This window comes from Homo sapiens, chromosome 7 (assembly GCF_000001405.40).
Source record: "Homo sapiens chromosome 7, GRCh38.p14 Primary Assembly".
Lineage (NCBI taxonomy): Eukaryota > Metazoa > Chordata > Mammalia > Primates > Hominidae > Homo > Homo sapiens.
In genome coordinates, this window is record NC_000007.14 from 35,992,667 (window position 1) to 36,009,245 (window position 16,579).

The 16,579-nt window shown below is 40.7% G+C and overlaps 1 long non-coding RNA gene across 2 annotated transcripts in view, besides 1 other annotated feature; it reads left to right on the forward strand.

Moving 5' to 3' along the window:
- Positions 1,093–1,387: an enhancer, noted in NCBI's record as "tiled region #2903; HepG2 Activating DNase matched - State 7:EnhWF". NCBI's record gives its function as "activates a minimal TATA promoter and a strong SV40 promoter by Sharpr-MPRA in HepG2 cells {active_cell/tissue: HepG2}" and the evidence as "EXISTENCE:reporter gene assay evidence [ECO:0000049][PMID:27701403]".
- LOC105375233 (uncharacterized) overlaps positions 8,685–16,579 on the forward strand; it is a 34,903-nt gene continuing 27,008 nt past the window's right edge. Inside the window, exon 1 of one of the 2 annotated variants that reach the window (NR_187893.1) lies at positions 8,685–9,035. This is a non-coding gene — a long non-coding RNA (uncharacterized LOC105375233). The remainder of the gene's footprint in view (positions 9,036–16,579) is intronic. The other variant, NR_187894.1, reaches the window with a different exon arrangement.

A 16,579-nucleotide genomic window follows, 5' to 3' on the forward strand; every position in this document is an offset into this window, starting at 1 on the left:
AAACAAAATGTAACATGTCAATACAATGGCATCTTATTTGTCATAAAAAGGAATGAAGCACTCATACATGCCACAACATGGATGAAACTGAAAAACATTTTGCAAAATGAAAGAAGCCAGTCACAAAAGACCACATATTCTATGATTCCATATATAGGAAATGTCCAGAACAGACAAATCTATGAAGATGGAAAGATTAGTGGTTGCCTAGGACTGGGAGGTGGCGTGAGGAGATTGGGGAGTGATAGCTAATGAATACAAAGTTTCTTTGGGGGATTATAAAAATTTACTAAAATTGATTGTGGTGACGGTCACACAATTCTGTAAATGTACTAAAAACCATTGAATTGCACACTTAAAATTGAATTGTAAAGCATGTGATATCTCAATAAAACTGTTATAAAAATATTTAGGTGCTAATTAGTTTGGAAGAGTCATTACTTTAAAATAATTCACAACACTATTTCCTTAACTATCAAACTTAAAAAGTGCATTTAAAACTATGGTTCAATTCCAAGGAGATATAAGATCTCTATGAGGAAAACAAAAACACTGCTGAAAGAAATCATAGATGACACAAACAAAGGTAAACACATTCCATGCTCATGATGGGAAGAATCAACATTGTGAAAATGACCGTACTGCCCAAAGAAATCTACAGATTAAATGCAATTCCATCAAAATACCATCATCATTATTCACAGAACTAGAAAAAAAATCCTAAAATGCATATGGCACCAAAAAAGAGCCCACATAGCCAAAGTAATACTAAGCAGAAAGAACAAACCTGGAGGCATCACACTACCTGACTTCAAATTGTACTACAATTGGTGGCTCACGCCTGTAATCCTACCACTTTGGGAGGCCAAGGTGGGTGGATCACTTGAGGTCAGGAGTTCAAGACCAACCTGGTCAATATGATGAAACCCCATCTCTACTAAAAATACAAAAATTAGCTGGGCATGGTGGCATGCTCCTGTAATCCCAGCTACTTGGGAGCCTGAGGCAGGAGAATCGCTTGAACCCAGAAGGCAGAGGTTGTAGTGAGCCGAGATTGCACCACTGCACTCTAGCCTGGGCAACAGAGTGAGACTCCATCTCAAAAGCAAACAAACAAACAAACAAACTAACTAACTCATTCCACTTCTGGTCTGCTTTATGCTTCTCCTGGGACATTGACAGGAAGTTGCCAAGTCTAAGTAAACAATGAACCAAATATGTTTGTACAGACATGTAGGGAAGAGGTGAACCGCAGGGCTGGGCCTGCCTTGGGAGTCCAACACAACGAATTCATGGCTCATGAGTGTTCTGTAAGCAAGAAATAGATCAGCCATGGTCCAGAACTGTAGCATGGGAAGACAATCCATTCAGACTTATGAATAATCACTGTTCACTGGCTTATCATCACATCCACTCTAGAACACAGGACTCCTCAGGGATGTAGTTTAAGTTCCCTACAATTGGGGTCAAAGGTCACTCCTTTACAATGGGGAGACTTCTATTCCCCATTCATCGAACCTGAGTGGGTTTTACTTGTTTGTATTTTTAGAAAAAGAAGCAAAACTGTATATTCCTCCTTAAATTTAATCTTAAATTTCTTTATGCCCAGCTTCTTGGCAGATACTTCTTCATGAGACTGTTTTAGATATTCGCATATATCACACACTTACATACACATATCTGACATTCCATTCACAGTGTGACATTTTCCATCAGTGCCTTTCCTGGGCACTGATGAATTCACAATTGCACTTAAGGGAGTAGATAAAATTCTGAATCCCGGATTGGCCTGAATTCACATTAAGACAGCCATGATAAGTCTGTGAGCATAATGAATGTCTTCTGCATCTTAGAATTCCGGAGACCTGGATTCTTATAATAGACTCCCTCCCCCACTACCATTTACCAGCAACCAGACTCAGGGTCTTCAGCTAGAATGAGGGCTGATCACACCTGCGCAGCCATCCTCGCCGATCTGGGGAGGTCATGAATAGGAAAGTGCTTTGTGAGCTGCACAGGCAGACTTGGGTTTGAAGTTTGTTTCCATCTTTTTTTTTTTGAGACAGAGTTTTGCTCTTGTCACCCAGGCTGGAGTGCAGTGGCGCGATCTTGGCTCACTGCAACCTCTGCCTCCCAGGTTGAAGCAATTCTCCTGCCTCAGCCTCCCGAGTAGCTGGGATTACAAGCGCCTGCCACCACGCCCGGCTAATTTTTGTATTTTTAGTAGAGACAGGGTTTCGCCATGTTGGCCAGGCTGGTCTCGAACTCCTGACCTCAGGTGATCCACCTGCTTTGGCCTCCCAAAGTGCTGGGATTACAGGCGTGAGCCACTGTGCCCAGCTGTTTCCACCATTTATTGATGAGGGGACCTTGGAAATTTTACTTTACCTCTTTGATCCTTAGATCTTTTATCTGTAAAGATGGACACTAGTATCTGCCCACAGATGAGCTATATAGATTAAATGGGATCAATGTATTTAAACAGCATGAGGTAAGTGCTCAATAAATGGTAGTTATTGTTATTGCTATTACCCTGGCGTTTATAGCAGTTCCATCAATACTATCACCAGTTTTGTCAGCCTCATCCGTATGCTTGGAACAACAAAAAAGATATTTTTGGAGTAGAGGATGAGAAAGTTTGGAAAATGCGGAGAAGGATGCATCATGGGTACGGGGAAAGTTAGGAGGAAATGGCCTTTCTGAAGTGAAGGGCTGTGGAGAGTGGAAAACTGGGGCCAAGAAGTCAGGAGGAGCCAGACAGTGAATGCCTCGGAAAGCTGGATTCAGACCTTTGATCTTAGTCCTGAAAGCGTCAACCTCTGTGACTGGTTTTAGTGCTGGCCAGAATGACTGGAGCCCTCTCTGGTGACCCAGACCCTGGAACCAGGTCTTCACAGCAGCAGAGCTTCTGAGCAAATAAGGCAGTGGGCAGGGCCCACGGTAGAGAGAGGTCCCAGTTGGGTCTCCTCACTTTGCCAAGGACTCTCATGGTTAGCCCCAGGGGTCAGTGGCTCCCTGTGGCCATAGCACTAGCTGGACTCACTTGGGCATCAGGCTCTCAGGCATGGCCTAATACCCTGACTATGCTTTTATCTTTAAATCTTTTTTTTTTTAAGTAATAAATGATTAGTGTGGAAAATCCAGAAAATTCTCCACATGGCAAAAAAGAAAATAAAAACAGCAATTTCATATTTTAATTCTAACTACTGACTTTTTGCATCTACACAGTTTTAAAAAATAGTTTTGTAATACACTTTTTTCATTATGATAGAGCGTAAACATTTTCTCAAGCCTTAAATATTCCTATTCAATCGCACTCTAATCGATCACATAGGCTAAATGAGTTAATATATGTATAGCTCTTAAATCAATGAGTGGCATATGGTAAGCACTCAGTATATCTTAGCAATGATTATACTAGGGATATATATTTAAACCACATGTATAATTAAATCAGCCCTTTATTATTAGACTTGAGGATGGTTTTCACTTTTTCATTTATATTGTAATGCTCCAGTGTGCATCTGTGTGAACAAATGTGTACTCAACGTCTCTGAGGACTTCCTCAGGATGTATTCCTAGTACAATGGCTGGGCCACAGAATATGCAATTTTTTTGATTATCAGTACAGGTTCCTAAGTACCGTTACCATTTATATGTGCTCTCAGATATTTAAAAAAAAAAATTTTTCTCTCCTGATGAGGCTGGGTTTGGAATTGGTTTCCCTCCTGAGAGAGAGGAGTTCTGCAGCTGAAAAAAACAAAAAAAATTGACTGCTCCATTTTATGACAGCAGCTGCAAGTTGTGACCCCAGAGGCTTAAAGAAAAGCTGAGAACAGCTCTGCCATGTAACCAGTTATGAGGTTTTGGGTAAGGTAACCAACTTTTCTACATCTCAATTTCTTGACCTGTAGAATGGTTTTAACAACACCTGCAACCCTTAAAGTTGATGAGATGATTAAATGAGAATTCTAAATCTCATCCAACGGTGGTCAGCACATAGGGTTCCTACATGAGAGTACACATTAGTAGACACAGAAGTTGCACGATCACAGTACAGTAGCATGCCAGCAATAGCTGTACCAGCCAGAACTGAAAAGCCCAGCCACAACCCTTACCACTGCCTCCTCTAACGGCTCTAGCCAAATGGAGACAATATCGGTGTGCTTTGGGCTGGCCCTTCCCCGCGACCCCAGCAATCTGGACAAGAATACGAGCCTTCGTCTCTCCCCCACCTCTTCTGCTGGCCACAGTGGGAGACATCAAAAACCTCACAAGTTTACCCCTCCCCACTGGCCATGGAAGTGTCAGAGACCCAAGCCTGGGCGGCCTGAGGCCTACCTCACCCTTGGGAAGCCAGGAAGCGGTCCTGATCTGCCGGCAGTGGGCCTGATCTGCCAAAAGTGAGCCTAATCCCTCAGAAGCCAGCACTATACTGTATTCCGGAAATGAGGTGATTCTCCCGAAAGAGGCCTGATCTACCAAAAGTGAGCCTAATCCATCAGAAGCCAGCACTATACTGTATTCCGGAAATGAGGTGATTCTCCAGAAAGAGGCCTGACCTGCCAGAAGTGGGCCTAACCCACGGGAAGTAAGCTTGATCCTGTCGGAAGCTGACTTGGCCAGCCAGAAGTGAGGATGAGGCTTAGTTGGCAAGGTTGGGATGAGAGGGCCTAATCCTTCTCAGGGGCCTTCTGCTTTCTGCCAGATGCAGTGCAGTTTCTTACCTTTTTTTTTTTGAAGATAGTTTTTTTTTTTTTCCTGAGATGGAGTTTCACTCTTGTTGCCCAGGCTGGAGTGCAATGGTGCGATCTTGGCTCACTGCAACCTCTGCCTCCCGAGTTCAAGTGATTCTCCTCCCTCAGCCTCCCAAGTAGCTGGGATTACAGGTGTGTACCACTATGCCTGGCTAATTTTTTTTATTTTTAGTAGAGACAGGGTTTTGCCATGTTGGCCAGACTGGTCTCGAACTCCTGACCTCAGGTGATCTGCCCACCTTGGCCTCCCAAAGCACTGGGAACACAGGCGTGAGCCACCGTGCCAGGCTGAAAATAGTTACTTTTAATAGTAATGTTATTCATGTTAGCATATAATAGGTTCGTTGTTATTTTTATAATAAATGAATTAATGCATTTCTTTAAATTCTCAATTTTAATTTGTAATATGGTAAATACAGATAGATTTAACCCATGTAAATAAAATTTATTTGGGGTCTTCTGATTTATTAGAGTATAAATGGATACTGAGACCAAAAGTTATGTACTGTTCTAATACATAAGGCATGTGCCTCAACTTATTTAGATCTTCAGTAGTTTCAACAAATGTTTATAATTGTCACTCTACAAATCTTGCACATCTTTGATTATATTTATTGCTAGATATTTACATATTTTGATGCTATTGTAAATGCTATATTTAAATTTACATTTTTAAAATTGTTGTAGGTATGTAGAAATACCATTTTTTTCCTGTTTTGCATACAGTGACCTTGCTAAATACTCTTGTTCATTTTAATAAATATAGTGCTTTGGGTATTTTTAATAGGTAAACTAGGAATAAAAGGGAATCTTCTTTACCTGATAAAGGATATCTGCAAATATAAAATTAAGCAAAAATTATACATAATGATGAAATGATAAAAATAATTCCCTTTAATATCAGAAAGAAGACAAGAGTGCTTTCTATTCCCTACTTCTATTCAACATTGCAACTGGAAGTTCTAGCCAGTGCAGTGAGGCAAAGAGGGAAAGAAAGGTACAATGATTGGAAAATGAAATAGGGGGCATATGGCTGTCAGATAAGTGGCAGATGTCCCTACTGTACTTTGCTGTAGTTTTTTTGTTTTTTCAGACACCTTATCAAGTCGAAGAGGTTTTCTTCTAATTCTAGTTACTAAAAGTTTTTTGATCTATTTTAGAATTAATTCATGTGTCCTTGGCATCTACCACTGATGTGGTTTGGGCTGTGTCCCCACCTACATCTCATCTTGTAGTTCCCATAATTCCCACATGTTTTGGGAGGGACCCAGTGGGAGGTAACTGAATTATGGGGGCGGCTACCCCCATGCTGTTCTTGTGATAGTGAGTGAGTTCTCACGAGATGTGATGGTTTTAAAAGGGGCTTCCCCCTTTGCTCGTCTTTCATTCTCTCTCTTGCCACCCTTTGAAGAGGTGCCTTCCGCCATGATTGTAAGTTTCCTGGCTGGGCCAGTGGCTCATGCCTGTAATCCCAGCACTTTGGGAGGCCGAGGCAGGCGGATAACTTGAGGTCAGGAGCTTGAGACCAGCCTGGCCAGCATGGTGAAACTCCATCTCTACTAAAAATACAAAAAAAGATTAGCCACGTGTGGTAGTACATGCCTGCAGTCCCAGCTACTGAGGAGGCTGAGGCAGGAGAATCGTTTGAACCCAGGAGGTGGAGGCTGCAGTGAGTCGAATTGCACCACTGCACTCCAGCCTAGGCAACAGAGCGAAACTGCCATCTCAAAAAAAAAAAAAAAAAAAGTAACTTTCCTAAGGCCTCCCCAGCCATGCAGAATTTTGAGTCAATTAAACCTCTTTTCTTTATAAATTACCCAGTCTTGGTATTTCTTCATAGCAGCGTGAGAATGGACTAATACAACCATAGATGCAGACTCTTTTAAAATTTTTTATTCCTAAACAATTTCAAATATACAGGAGAATTATTGAATAAATAATACAAAGAACTTTGGTATATCCTTCCCTGAGATTCACCAACTGGTAACATTTTACTACATTTGCATCTCTCTGTCTAGATATCTACACAGACATCATTATTGTTCTAAAATAATTTGACAGTAAATTGTAGACATTATGCTCCTTTGCCCCTAAATACTTCAGTCTGTATTTCCCAAGAGCAAGGATATTCTCTTTACTAACCACAATGTAGTCAACAAAATCAAGAAACTTAACACTGATATAATACTGTTATCTATAGTCCATTTTCCACTTTTGTCAATTTCCCCAATAATGTCCTTGATAGTAATTTTCTCCTGATCCTAAGATCCAATCTAACATCATCTATTGCATTTGGTTGTCATATCACTAGTTTTCTTCAGTCTGGAATACTATGAGTTTTAATCATGAGTAAATGTTGAAACTTAATAAATGTGTTTTTCTGCATCTATTAAAACGATAACATAGTTTTTTCCTCTAATTTGTTAATGTGAATTACCTTAATTGATTTTTCTAAAGTTAAATGAACTTTGCATTTCTTGGATTGATCCCAACTTAATCATTATGTATTAATGTTTTAAAATATTACTGGACTTACCTTTCTAAACTTGGTTCAGAATTTTTGCATCTACTGATAATTTCATAGTGGGATTGGCCGTAATTTACTTTCTCGTTATTTTTCAGGTTTTGGTGTCTGATTTATATTGATTTCATAAAAATGAATAGAGTGTGTACTATCTTTTGTACTCTTAAATCATTTCTGTAAGATTATATGTTTCTTTACCTGGCTAGTAAACCAGGTAGATTGTTTGTGGAACTATTTTAAGCTGGTGATTCAATTTATTTATTTTATGCAATAATAATAACTTCTTGTTTTTATTTAATTTTTATAGGGGAAAAGCTCAAACATGTTCAAAATAGAGAGAATAATATAATGAACCCATGTGCTTATTAGTCATGTTCATCAATGACCAACACATGGCCCATTAAATTTTGTCTTTAACCTCATATACTTCCTCCTCTTTTTACTGGATTATTTTAAAGCAAATCTAAGTTAGTGTATCATTTCATTTAAAAAATATTTTGGTAGGTTTATCATTTTTAATTAACAAATTTAAATTTTCATTTTGAAGTAAACTTAGCCTTTGAAAAAGTTGCAAAAGTAGTGTGACAATTTTCTGTGTAACTTTTACCCAGCTACCCAAGATGTCAACATCTTATGTAACCATAGTACATTAATGAAAAACAGAAAATTAACATTCTTATAATACTATTAACTACTCTATACACCTTATTCAGATGTCACCAACTGTCCAACGGATGTTCTTTTCAATTCTGGGATCCATTTTAGGATTCTGCATTTAGTTGCATTTAGTTGTCATTTGTCTTTAGTCTCCTGAAAGCTGGTACAGTTCCTCAGTCTTTTCTTGTCTTCCATGACTAGGCCCATTTGAAGAGTATGGCCAGTTATTTTGTAGAATCTCCCTCAATCTGGATTTGTCTGATGTTCCCTCATTATTAGATTGAGGTTATGCATTTTTGGCAAGAATACTACAGAAATAATGTTGTGCCCTTCTCAGGGCAGCATATCAGCAGGCACAAGGTATCACTATGTCTCATTACTACCAATGTGAATGCTGATCAGTTGGTTAGAGTGGTATGGTAGGCAGAATAATATCCCCAAAGATGTCCATATCCTTATCCCCAGAACCTGTGAATATGCTACTTTACATGGCAAAAGGGATCCTGCAGACGTGATTAAGTTAAAGATCTTGAAATGGGGAGTGATATAGGCAATGTTCGTGTCCCTCCCCCCTCCTCCCCCTGGCAAATTCATCTGTTGAAATCTTAACCCTCAGTGTGATGGTATTAGGAGGTGGAGGCTTTGGAATGTTATTAGGTCATGAGGACAGAACTCTTGTAAATGGGATTGGTGCTCTTATAAAAGAGACCCCAGAGAGCTCTCTTGCCACTCCACCATGTAAGAACACAGCCAGAGGAGAGCTGCCTGTGAACCAAGAAGCAGGCCCTCACCAGACACTGAGTCTGCCAGCACCTGGATCTTGGACTTCCAGCCTCCAGAAGTGTGAGAAAGAAATTTCTGTGGTTGATAAGCCACCCAGCCTGTAGGACTTTGCTATAGTAGCCCAAACAGACTAAAATTGGGAGATTATCCTGGATTATCCAGGCAGCCCCAACATATTCAGGAGAGTTCTTATAAGAGAAAAGGGAGGCAGGTGAGTCTGAGTCAGAGAAGGAGGTGTGATGATGGAAGCAGAGGTCAAAGTGATGCGGGGCCATAAGCCAAGGAATGCGGTCAGCCTCTAAAAGCCGCAAAAGGTAGGAACCAGATTCTCCCTGGGTATTCCACAAGGAATGCAGCCTGGCTGACACCTTGCTTTTAGTCCAGAGAGACTCATTTTTGGCTTTTGACCTCCAGAACTGCAAGACACTACATTTGTGTTGTTTTAAGCCACTAAGATTCTTCTGGTAATTTGATACCACAGCAATAGGATGCTAATACAAGTAGTGACTGTAGATTTCTCTGTAAAATTATTTTTCTTTGCAATTGTGGGAAGATATTATGAGACCATGTACATATCCCATTTCTTTTTATTTTTATTCACTGAATTTAGAATTTAGAATCTACTAATGATTGTTGCCTGCAGCAACTATTATTATGGTGTTTGCCACATGGTAATTTTCTATTTCTGTCAATCCTTCTGTCTTTATTAATTGGGATTCTACTGCAGTATCTCAAGGACTCAGTTCTTTTTTTAAAAAAAAAAACACAATACTCTTGTTATAGCTAAAAATTAACAGTAACTCCTCAATAACCTCAAATATCCAGTTGGTGTTCAAATTCCCCCAGATTGTTCTGATAAGATTTTTTAATTGTAGATTTGTCTTAAACAGGTACTACACAGACAGGGTTGGCACACTGCATTTGATTGATATGTCTCCTAATTCTTCCAATCAAAAGGTTCCCTCTTTTTATTTCCCTTGTCAACATTATCTATTGAAGAATCATGATATGCTCTAGAGAACTTCTCACATTCTGGATTTTTCTGATGGTATCCTGTAACTTGTTCCTGGTTCCCTCGTATTTTCTGTAATTTGGTAATTCAGTTTAGGATCTTGATCAGATTCCAGTTCAATTTTTTGGCAAAAACTCTATGTAATTAGTATTGTATACTCACAATTGTACATGCCAGGTGCGTATAATTGTCTAATTGTTGCTCTTTTGTGATATGCAGTTTGACTGGGGGTTCAGGTGTTGCCAGCCTGATCCTCTATTATAAAATTCTGCCATCAACTTTTGCCAAATGGTTTCAGGAGCCAGTGATACTCCTTGACTCAATCATTTTCCAAAATAGTAATTCTGTTTGTTTCTTTATTTGTATTTTTAGAGAAAGAATATATGTATTGGTTAGTGAAATCAGTCAGAAAACTAATAAAGGCTTACGCAAATAAAGGATGATTTTTCTCACTTAAGAAGGTTGGAGGTAGGCAGTGCAGGGTGGGGGCAGGGATTTGATGTGAAAGGAGTGAAGGACATGCCATCCCCAAATACGCTCAATTGGCATATTGATTATTTTGAGTTGAAAACATTGAGAAATTGTAGTTTCAGAAAGGACAAGCTGACCTATCTCTTCCTGCATGTAGCAAGCTATAAAGATTCCTCTGGGAGGAGTACCCTCTCCATACCAGGGAGAGGAAATAGCCCTTATCACCAGAGACTTGGAATTGAATGCTACGATGAACCTGAATAAACATACCTAACAAAGCAACCTTTATCTTCCACCTATTGTATACTCCCTCACATATATCTACTAGTGACTTCCCTAGACAATTTTGCTGCCCTGGCCACATTTTCTTTGTTCTGTCATTTCTTCTAAAATTTATTGCTCTTTTTCTAAAAAGTATAAAAGCATCTGGCTTTGGCCAGTTCTTCAGGCTTCACTCTCTTGTGAAGTCCCCATAGACATGTAGTAAAACTAATAAACTTTGTATACTTTTCTCTTGTTAATATGCCTGATGTCAATATGGTTTCTAGATCCAGGTAAAGAACTCATTAATAGCTAAAAGGAGGATTGGAGGTGCTCTCTAGCTCTCCTACAATGTCATCAAAACCCTGTGTATCCTTCATGCTTTCTGCTTCACAGTCACAAAATGGCTGCATAGTTCCCGGCATCACATACTCACTCAAGACAAGAAGAAAGATGTAGAGGTGGCCTGGGTTGCTTTCATTCTTGTTATTAGGAACATAAAAGTTTTTCTTGAAGTTATTCATAGCTGCAAGAGACTGTGAAAGTGAGTTCTTAGATTTGTCTTTATAAAGGAAAGTAACAAATGTGAAGGGGCTTGGGAATGGATGGGAGCGAGTGAAACAATGTCACAACACTGGAGTCACTGTAGGAAGATTCACGAGAACTAACCTCAGGAGTACAGACTTTCTTCTGCAGAATATGAAGAACCATTAAAGATTTTGGTCCAGGGACCAACATATCCAACACGAGGTTGTAGAGACTGAACCCAGCAGGGCTGAGTTCAGCCAGGTGGACTGTGGCAGTGGGGCCTCAAGGAAAGGGCTCAGTCAAGAGGTGACTGGAGCTGTCCACCAGGGCAATTTACACAAGGAATTTGTGCCTTGTGACTATTAAAAATTATTATTTCCATTTGTTTTGTAAACAGGAGAGATGACAAGCTCTAAAGCCCAGAATTTCTTTCTTGTTTTATTTAAAATCTATTAAGGAATTAAGAATAGCAATATAGTTTGGATATTATTCCCCTGCAAATCTCATGTTGAAATTTGATCCCTTAGAAGTGGGGATTAAAGCGAGGTGTTTGGGTCATGGGGGCCATCATCCGCCCATCTTGGCCTCCCAAAGTGGTGCCATTCTTGAGGGATTGAGTGAACTCTCACTCTCAGTTCCCTCAAGATCTGGTTGTTAAAGAGTCTGGCACCTCCCTCCTCCCTGTCTTTCCTCCTCTCTTGTCACATGATGCCATCTCTTATTCCCTTTCTGCCATGAGTGGAAGCTTCCGGAGGCCCTCACCAGAAGCAGATGCTGCTGCTATGCTTCCTGTAAAGCCTGGCAGAACCATATTGCCCAGCCTCAGGTATTCCTTTACAACAATGCAAAATGGACTAAGACAAATAGTGTATACTGCTGCACAACAATGTAAATGCACCTAATATCACTAGGCTGTATACTTAAAAGTGGTTAAGATGGTAAATTTTGGCCAGGCACGGTGGCTCATGCCCGTAATCCCACACTTTGGAAGGCTGAGGCGGGAGGATCACTTGAGGCTAGGAGTTCAAGACTAGCCTGGCCAACATAGTGAAACCCCCATCTCTACTAAAAATACAAAAATTAGCCAGGCATGGGGACACATGCCTGTAATCTCAGCTACTCGAAAGGCTGAGGCATGAGAATTGCTTGAACCTGGGAGGTGGAGGTTGTAGTGAGCTGAGCTCACACCATTGCACTTCAGTCCGGGCAACAGAGTAAGACTTCATCTCAAAAAAAAAAAAAAAAAAAAAAAAGACGGTAAATTTTATGTTATGTATATTTTACCACAATTAAAAATTTTGTTTTTAAATATATTGGGGAGAAAATGCTCAGAGAATAAATAATTCATCAGTAAATAAGAGATCAGGGTAGCAGGAAAGAAAAGAGGTACAGTATCTGACAGGGGCCACATTTAGCCCCCTTTTGGGACAAGAGGAAATGAGGAAGAGAGGGCATAGAAAGAGCACTGGCCTTGCAGTTACTTGGGTTTAAAGCATGGTTCTGAATTTGAACTATTCTGTAACCTTCATAAGCTTCAGTAACACTTTCTGTACAATTGGGATAATAGTACCACTTTCTGCCTATCATAGGGAGGATGTAAGGAATCAAACCAGACAGTGAAATCAAATAAGTAATACACTCTGAGTATACCCATTTTGTAAACTTTACCTCTCCACATTCCAAACAGGTTCAATTTGCTGCCAAGTCAAGCTGCTGCTATGAACCAGCCAGCTCTGACCTACCCATTGAATTTCATCTCAAGACACAGAACATTTGATTTCAAACCATAGAGTGAGGAGGTAGACCAGGGAGGAAGCAGCATCTGTATAGCACGTTTCCTTTCTCCTCCCACTTGCGGGCACTTGGGAAAGCAATCTGAGTGTTCCAAAAGGTCACACACTGTCTAGGCCATGTCAGTGGTGGCTATTCCTCGCTACAGCTGGTAAATTGATATTTAATAGATTTAATAGTTTTTCATTACTTTTAAGAGTCTGATAATGGAAACATTAAATAAATGTAACATATATAAATATAAATACAAAAGAATTGTGTGCCTCTTTTGCATGTGGAATTTAAGAACAAGAGCTTCATCACTGCTGGGTCTGATATCAACATTGCCTGCTTAAAACATAGCAGTGGCTTACAAGGATCTTGACACTACACAGGATGGATGGCTTTTGGTAACATGGAAACTGGTCATCCTGTTTATGGATGGCTATTTTTCTGCCCTCCTTTCATCCCCTTTTCTCAGACAGTTCTATTGGTGAACATATTCACCAAAGTAGAGGAAGGGAGAGAAGATGAAAAATCATGTAGATGTTACAAGTGCTGTCTCCAGCAAGGCTTAGATAAGAGGATTGAGATCATTGCACACCATCTACAAATGTCAAATATTTGTATTATTCAGATCCCCATTATGGCAGAAAACTGCTGAGTTATCTCCTTCCCTAGTCTTTATCTAGAAGGATGGTGTTTCTCACTGTATGTACTTGGGACTGCTAATGGCCCATGTGGATGAGCCAGGAGTTAGTCTTACAGTATTAATGATTATGACTTAGTTTCTTGGCTTGAATAGATAATTCATTCATCATTGCTTGACTGTACAAGACCAGTCCTTCATCACTGGGTGCACACACAAGTGGCTGTTCCACAGTGTTCCCAGGAGGCTTAAAGACCCCTGATTCCATATTTTGCCTTCAGATATCTGGGTTGGGGCCTAGTTTTCATGACTGGTTTAGACTTTCTGCAACTAAAGAGCTTAATCTTTGGTTCTTGGACCTCTGTGGATTTTGGTGGCCTCCAAAAGAGGAGTTGTGAAGGTTTCTCTAACAACCCTGACTCCACGGGTTCCTTACAGTCTCAGCCAAGTTTCCATCTGCCCCATCTCCCCCAGCAGCCAGTGGGAGAGGGTCTGACACCTGTGTGTTTATGAGAAAGTGGCATCATCTCGGTGCCTCACGGAGAGCTATGCCAGGCAGCTCCTCATTGCAAAGATGTGGTGTTTTTAACTAATACGGTATAACCTAGATATCAACCAGGGTCTCAGGACCTTTTCAGAGTTAGATAAGATTGATTCAAACATTTTCCCATTGGTTGTAGAAGTACAGAGCTGTGGCAAGATTTATCTGAATTCCTGGAGGTTTTTTAGTATCAACTCTTCTCTAAATTAGTTTCTTTGCCAAGTTTTGTTCTCCTCTCTGCATCTGGCAGCTGTTCTTCATTTCTGCTGTTCCTTTGATCCAACCCAGGGTCACAGAGCTTTCTTCTGCTTTGCTACTGCGGTGGGTGGCAGCGGAGACAGAGGGAGACTCTGAGCCCTCCCATTAAAGCCCCTCTTCCAAAGCCTTGAGACGCAGAGTAGGCTTCCAAGCACCCAGTGGGAGGGACTCAGCACACAGAGAGCGCTGCTGAAAGTCCTTTTCAAAAGCCCTACCTGTCCTTGCCATCAGCCTTTTCACTCCTGATTCTGATGAGGAGTTTAAGGGTTATGAAACCAATATTTGGGTATCTTATTTGCATAGTTGCCTCTCAGACTGCCCCCCCACAACCACCACATTGGAATATCATAATTAGTGTGTCTTATTCAGGTATGGGGTGGTTTTAGGGCCCGCACCTCACAGTCGTTACCGCCTCCAAGTCCTGGCTTGAACCTCAAGTTGATCTTCTTCTCTTTGCAAACCAGCTGAATGACTGCAGTTTGGAAGACAGAACTTGCTGGGGGGAAAGAAAAGCTTGACTATGTGCTGTTAAACACCCTGCTTAGAGAACATTCGTTTGTTGAGTTCCAAATAATTCAGCAAAGAAAAACAATCTCACTGTTTCAAAAATGTAGTTTCATTGTTGTAAAATGAATTATTTGATTAATGGCAGTATTTTAGATTTTTTAAAATGTCTTAATTACTTACTATTTTGAACTGAAATATTATTATCAAAAGATTTTGTCCCACTTAAGAGGCAATGGCTTGTCTCCCAAGGGTTGTGCAGAGGCACCAGTGGGATGTTAATAACCCATGGTCATTTATATATTTATTATTATTTATGATTACAACTGTAATTCCGGGTTCAAAATATTTTGAACATGCAGAGTTGAATTACATAGAATGTGAAAATCCCAGACCGGGCGCGATGGCTCACATCTGTAATTCCAGCACTTTGGGAGGCTGAGGTGGGTGGATCACCTGAGGTCAGGAGTTCGAAACCAGCCTGGCCAACATGGTGAAACCCCGTCTCTATTAAAAATACAAAAATTAGCTGGGCATGGTGGCAGGCGCCTGTAATCCCAGCTACTCGGGAGGTTGAGGCAGGAGAATCGCTTGAACCCGGGAGGCAGAGGTTGCAGTGAGCTGAGATCAAGCCATTGCACTCCAGCCTGAGCAACAAGAGCAAAACTCCATCTCAAACCAACAAACAAACAAATAAACAAAGAACGTGAAAGTCCCTCAAATACCCCAACCTAATCACCAGAAATGGTTGCTTTGATTACTTCCTATGTATATATTATCTTAAAATGTTATTAATTTTTTTTTTTTTTTTTTTTTGAGACGGAGTCTCGCTCTGTCGCCCAGGCCGGACTGCGGACTGCAGTGGCGCAATCTCGGCTCACTGCAAGCTCCGCTTCCCGGGTTCACGCCATTCTCCTGCCTCAGCCTCCCGAGTAGCTGGGACTACAGGCGCCCGCCACCGCGCCCGGCTAATTTTTTGTATTTTTAGTAGAGACGGGGTTTCACCTTGTTAGCCAGGATGGTCTGGATCTCCTGACCTCATGATCCACCCGCCTCAGCCTCCCAAAGTGCTGGGATTACAGGCGTGAGCCAAAAATGTTATTAATTTAGTATGACCAACAAATTTGGGTGCTCACTGGACATACTCTTCTGCAATTTGCTTCCTTTTTAACTTAACAATACCTCTTGTCCATTCTCAATGTCAGTTCACAAATTACTCATCATTCTGTTTTTTGGGTGTATAACTTGTTGATTGACTTTTTATTATTTCTGGGTTTTCCCTTTTATAAACAAGTTGAGTAGAAAAAAATCCTTGCACATATATCTTAATGAACTCGTCTGAGAATTTTGCAGTATACATTCCCAGAAGTGGGACTCCCACATGGAAGGATAGGCATATTTCAGGATAGTGCTAAGTTGTGTGTTAGTTTTACATGGGCAGACATGATGCCCACACCCTCATTGACATCAGGTATCAGTCATTGAAAAACATCTTTGTAATTTTTTTTTTTTTTTTTTTGAGATGGAGTCTTGCTCTGTCACCCAGGCTGGAGTGCAGTGGCGTGATCTCGGCTCACTGCAAGCTCTGCCTCCTGGGTTCACGTCATTCTCCTGCCTCAGTCTCCCGAGTAGCTGGGACTACAGGCACCCACCACCATGCCTGGCTAATTTTTTTGTATTTTTTAGTGGAGACGGGGTTTCACCATGTTAGCCAGGATGGTCTTGATCTCCTGACCTTGTGATCCGCCCGCCTCGGCCTCCCAAAGTGCTGGGATTACAGGCGTGAGCCACTGCGCCCAGCCTGTAATTCTTATAGATGAAACTGATGTCCTTATTTAAGTTTGAATTTTTGTTTGTTTGTTTG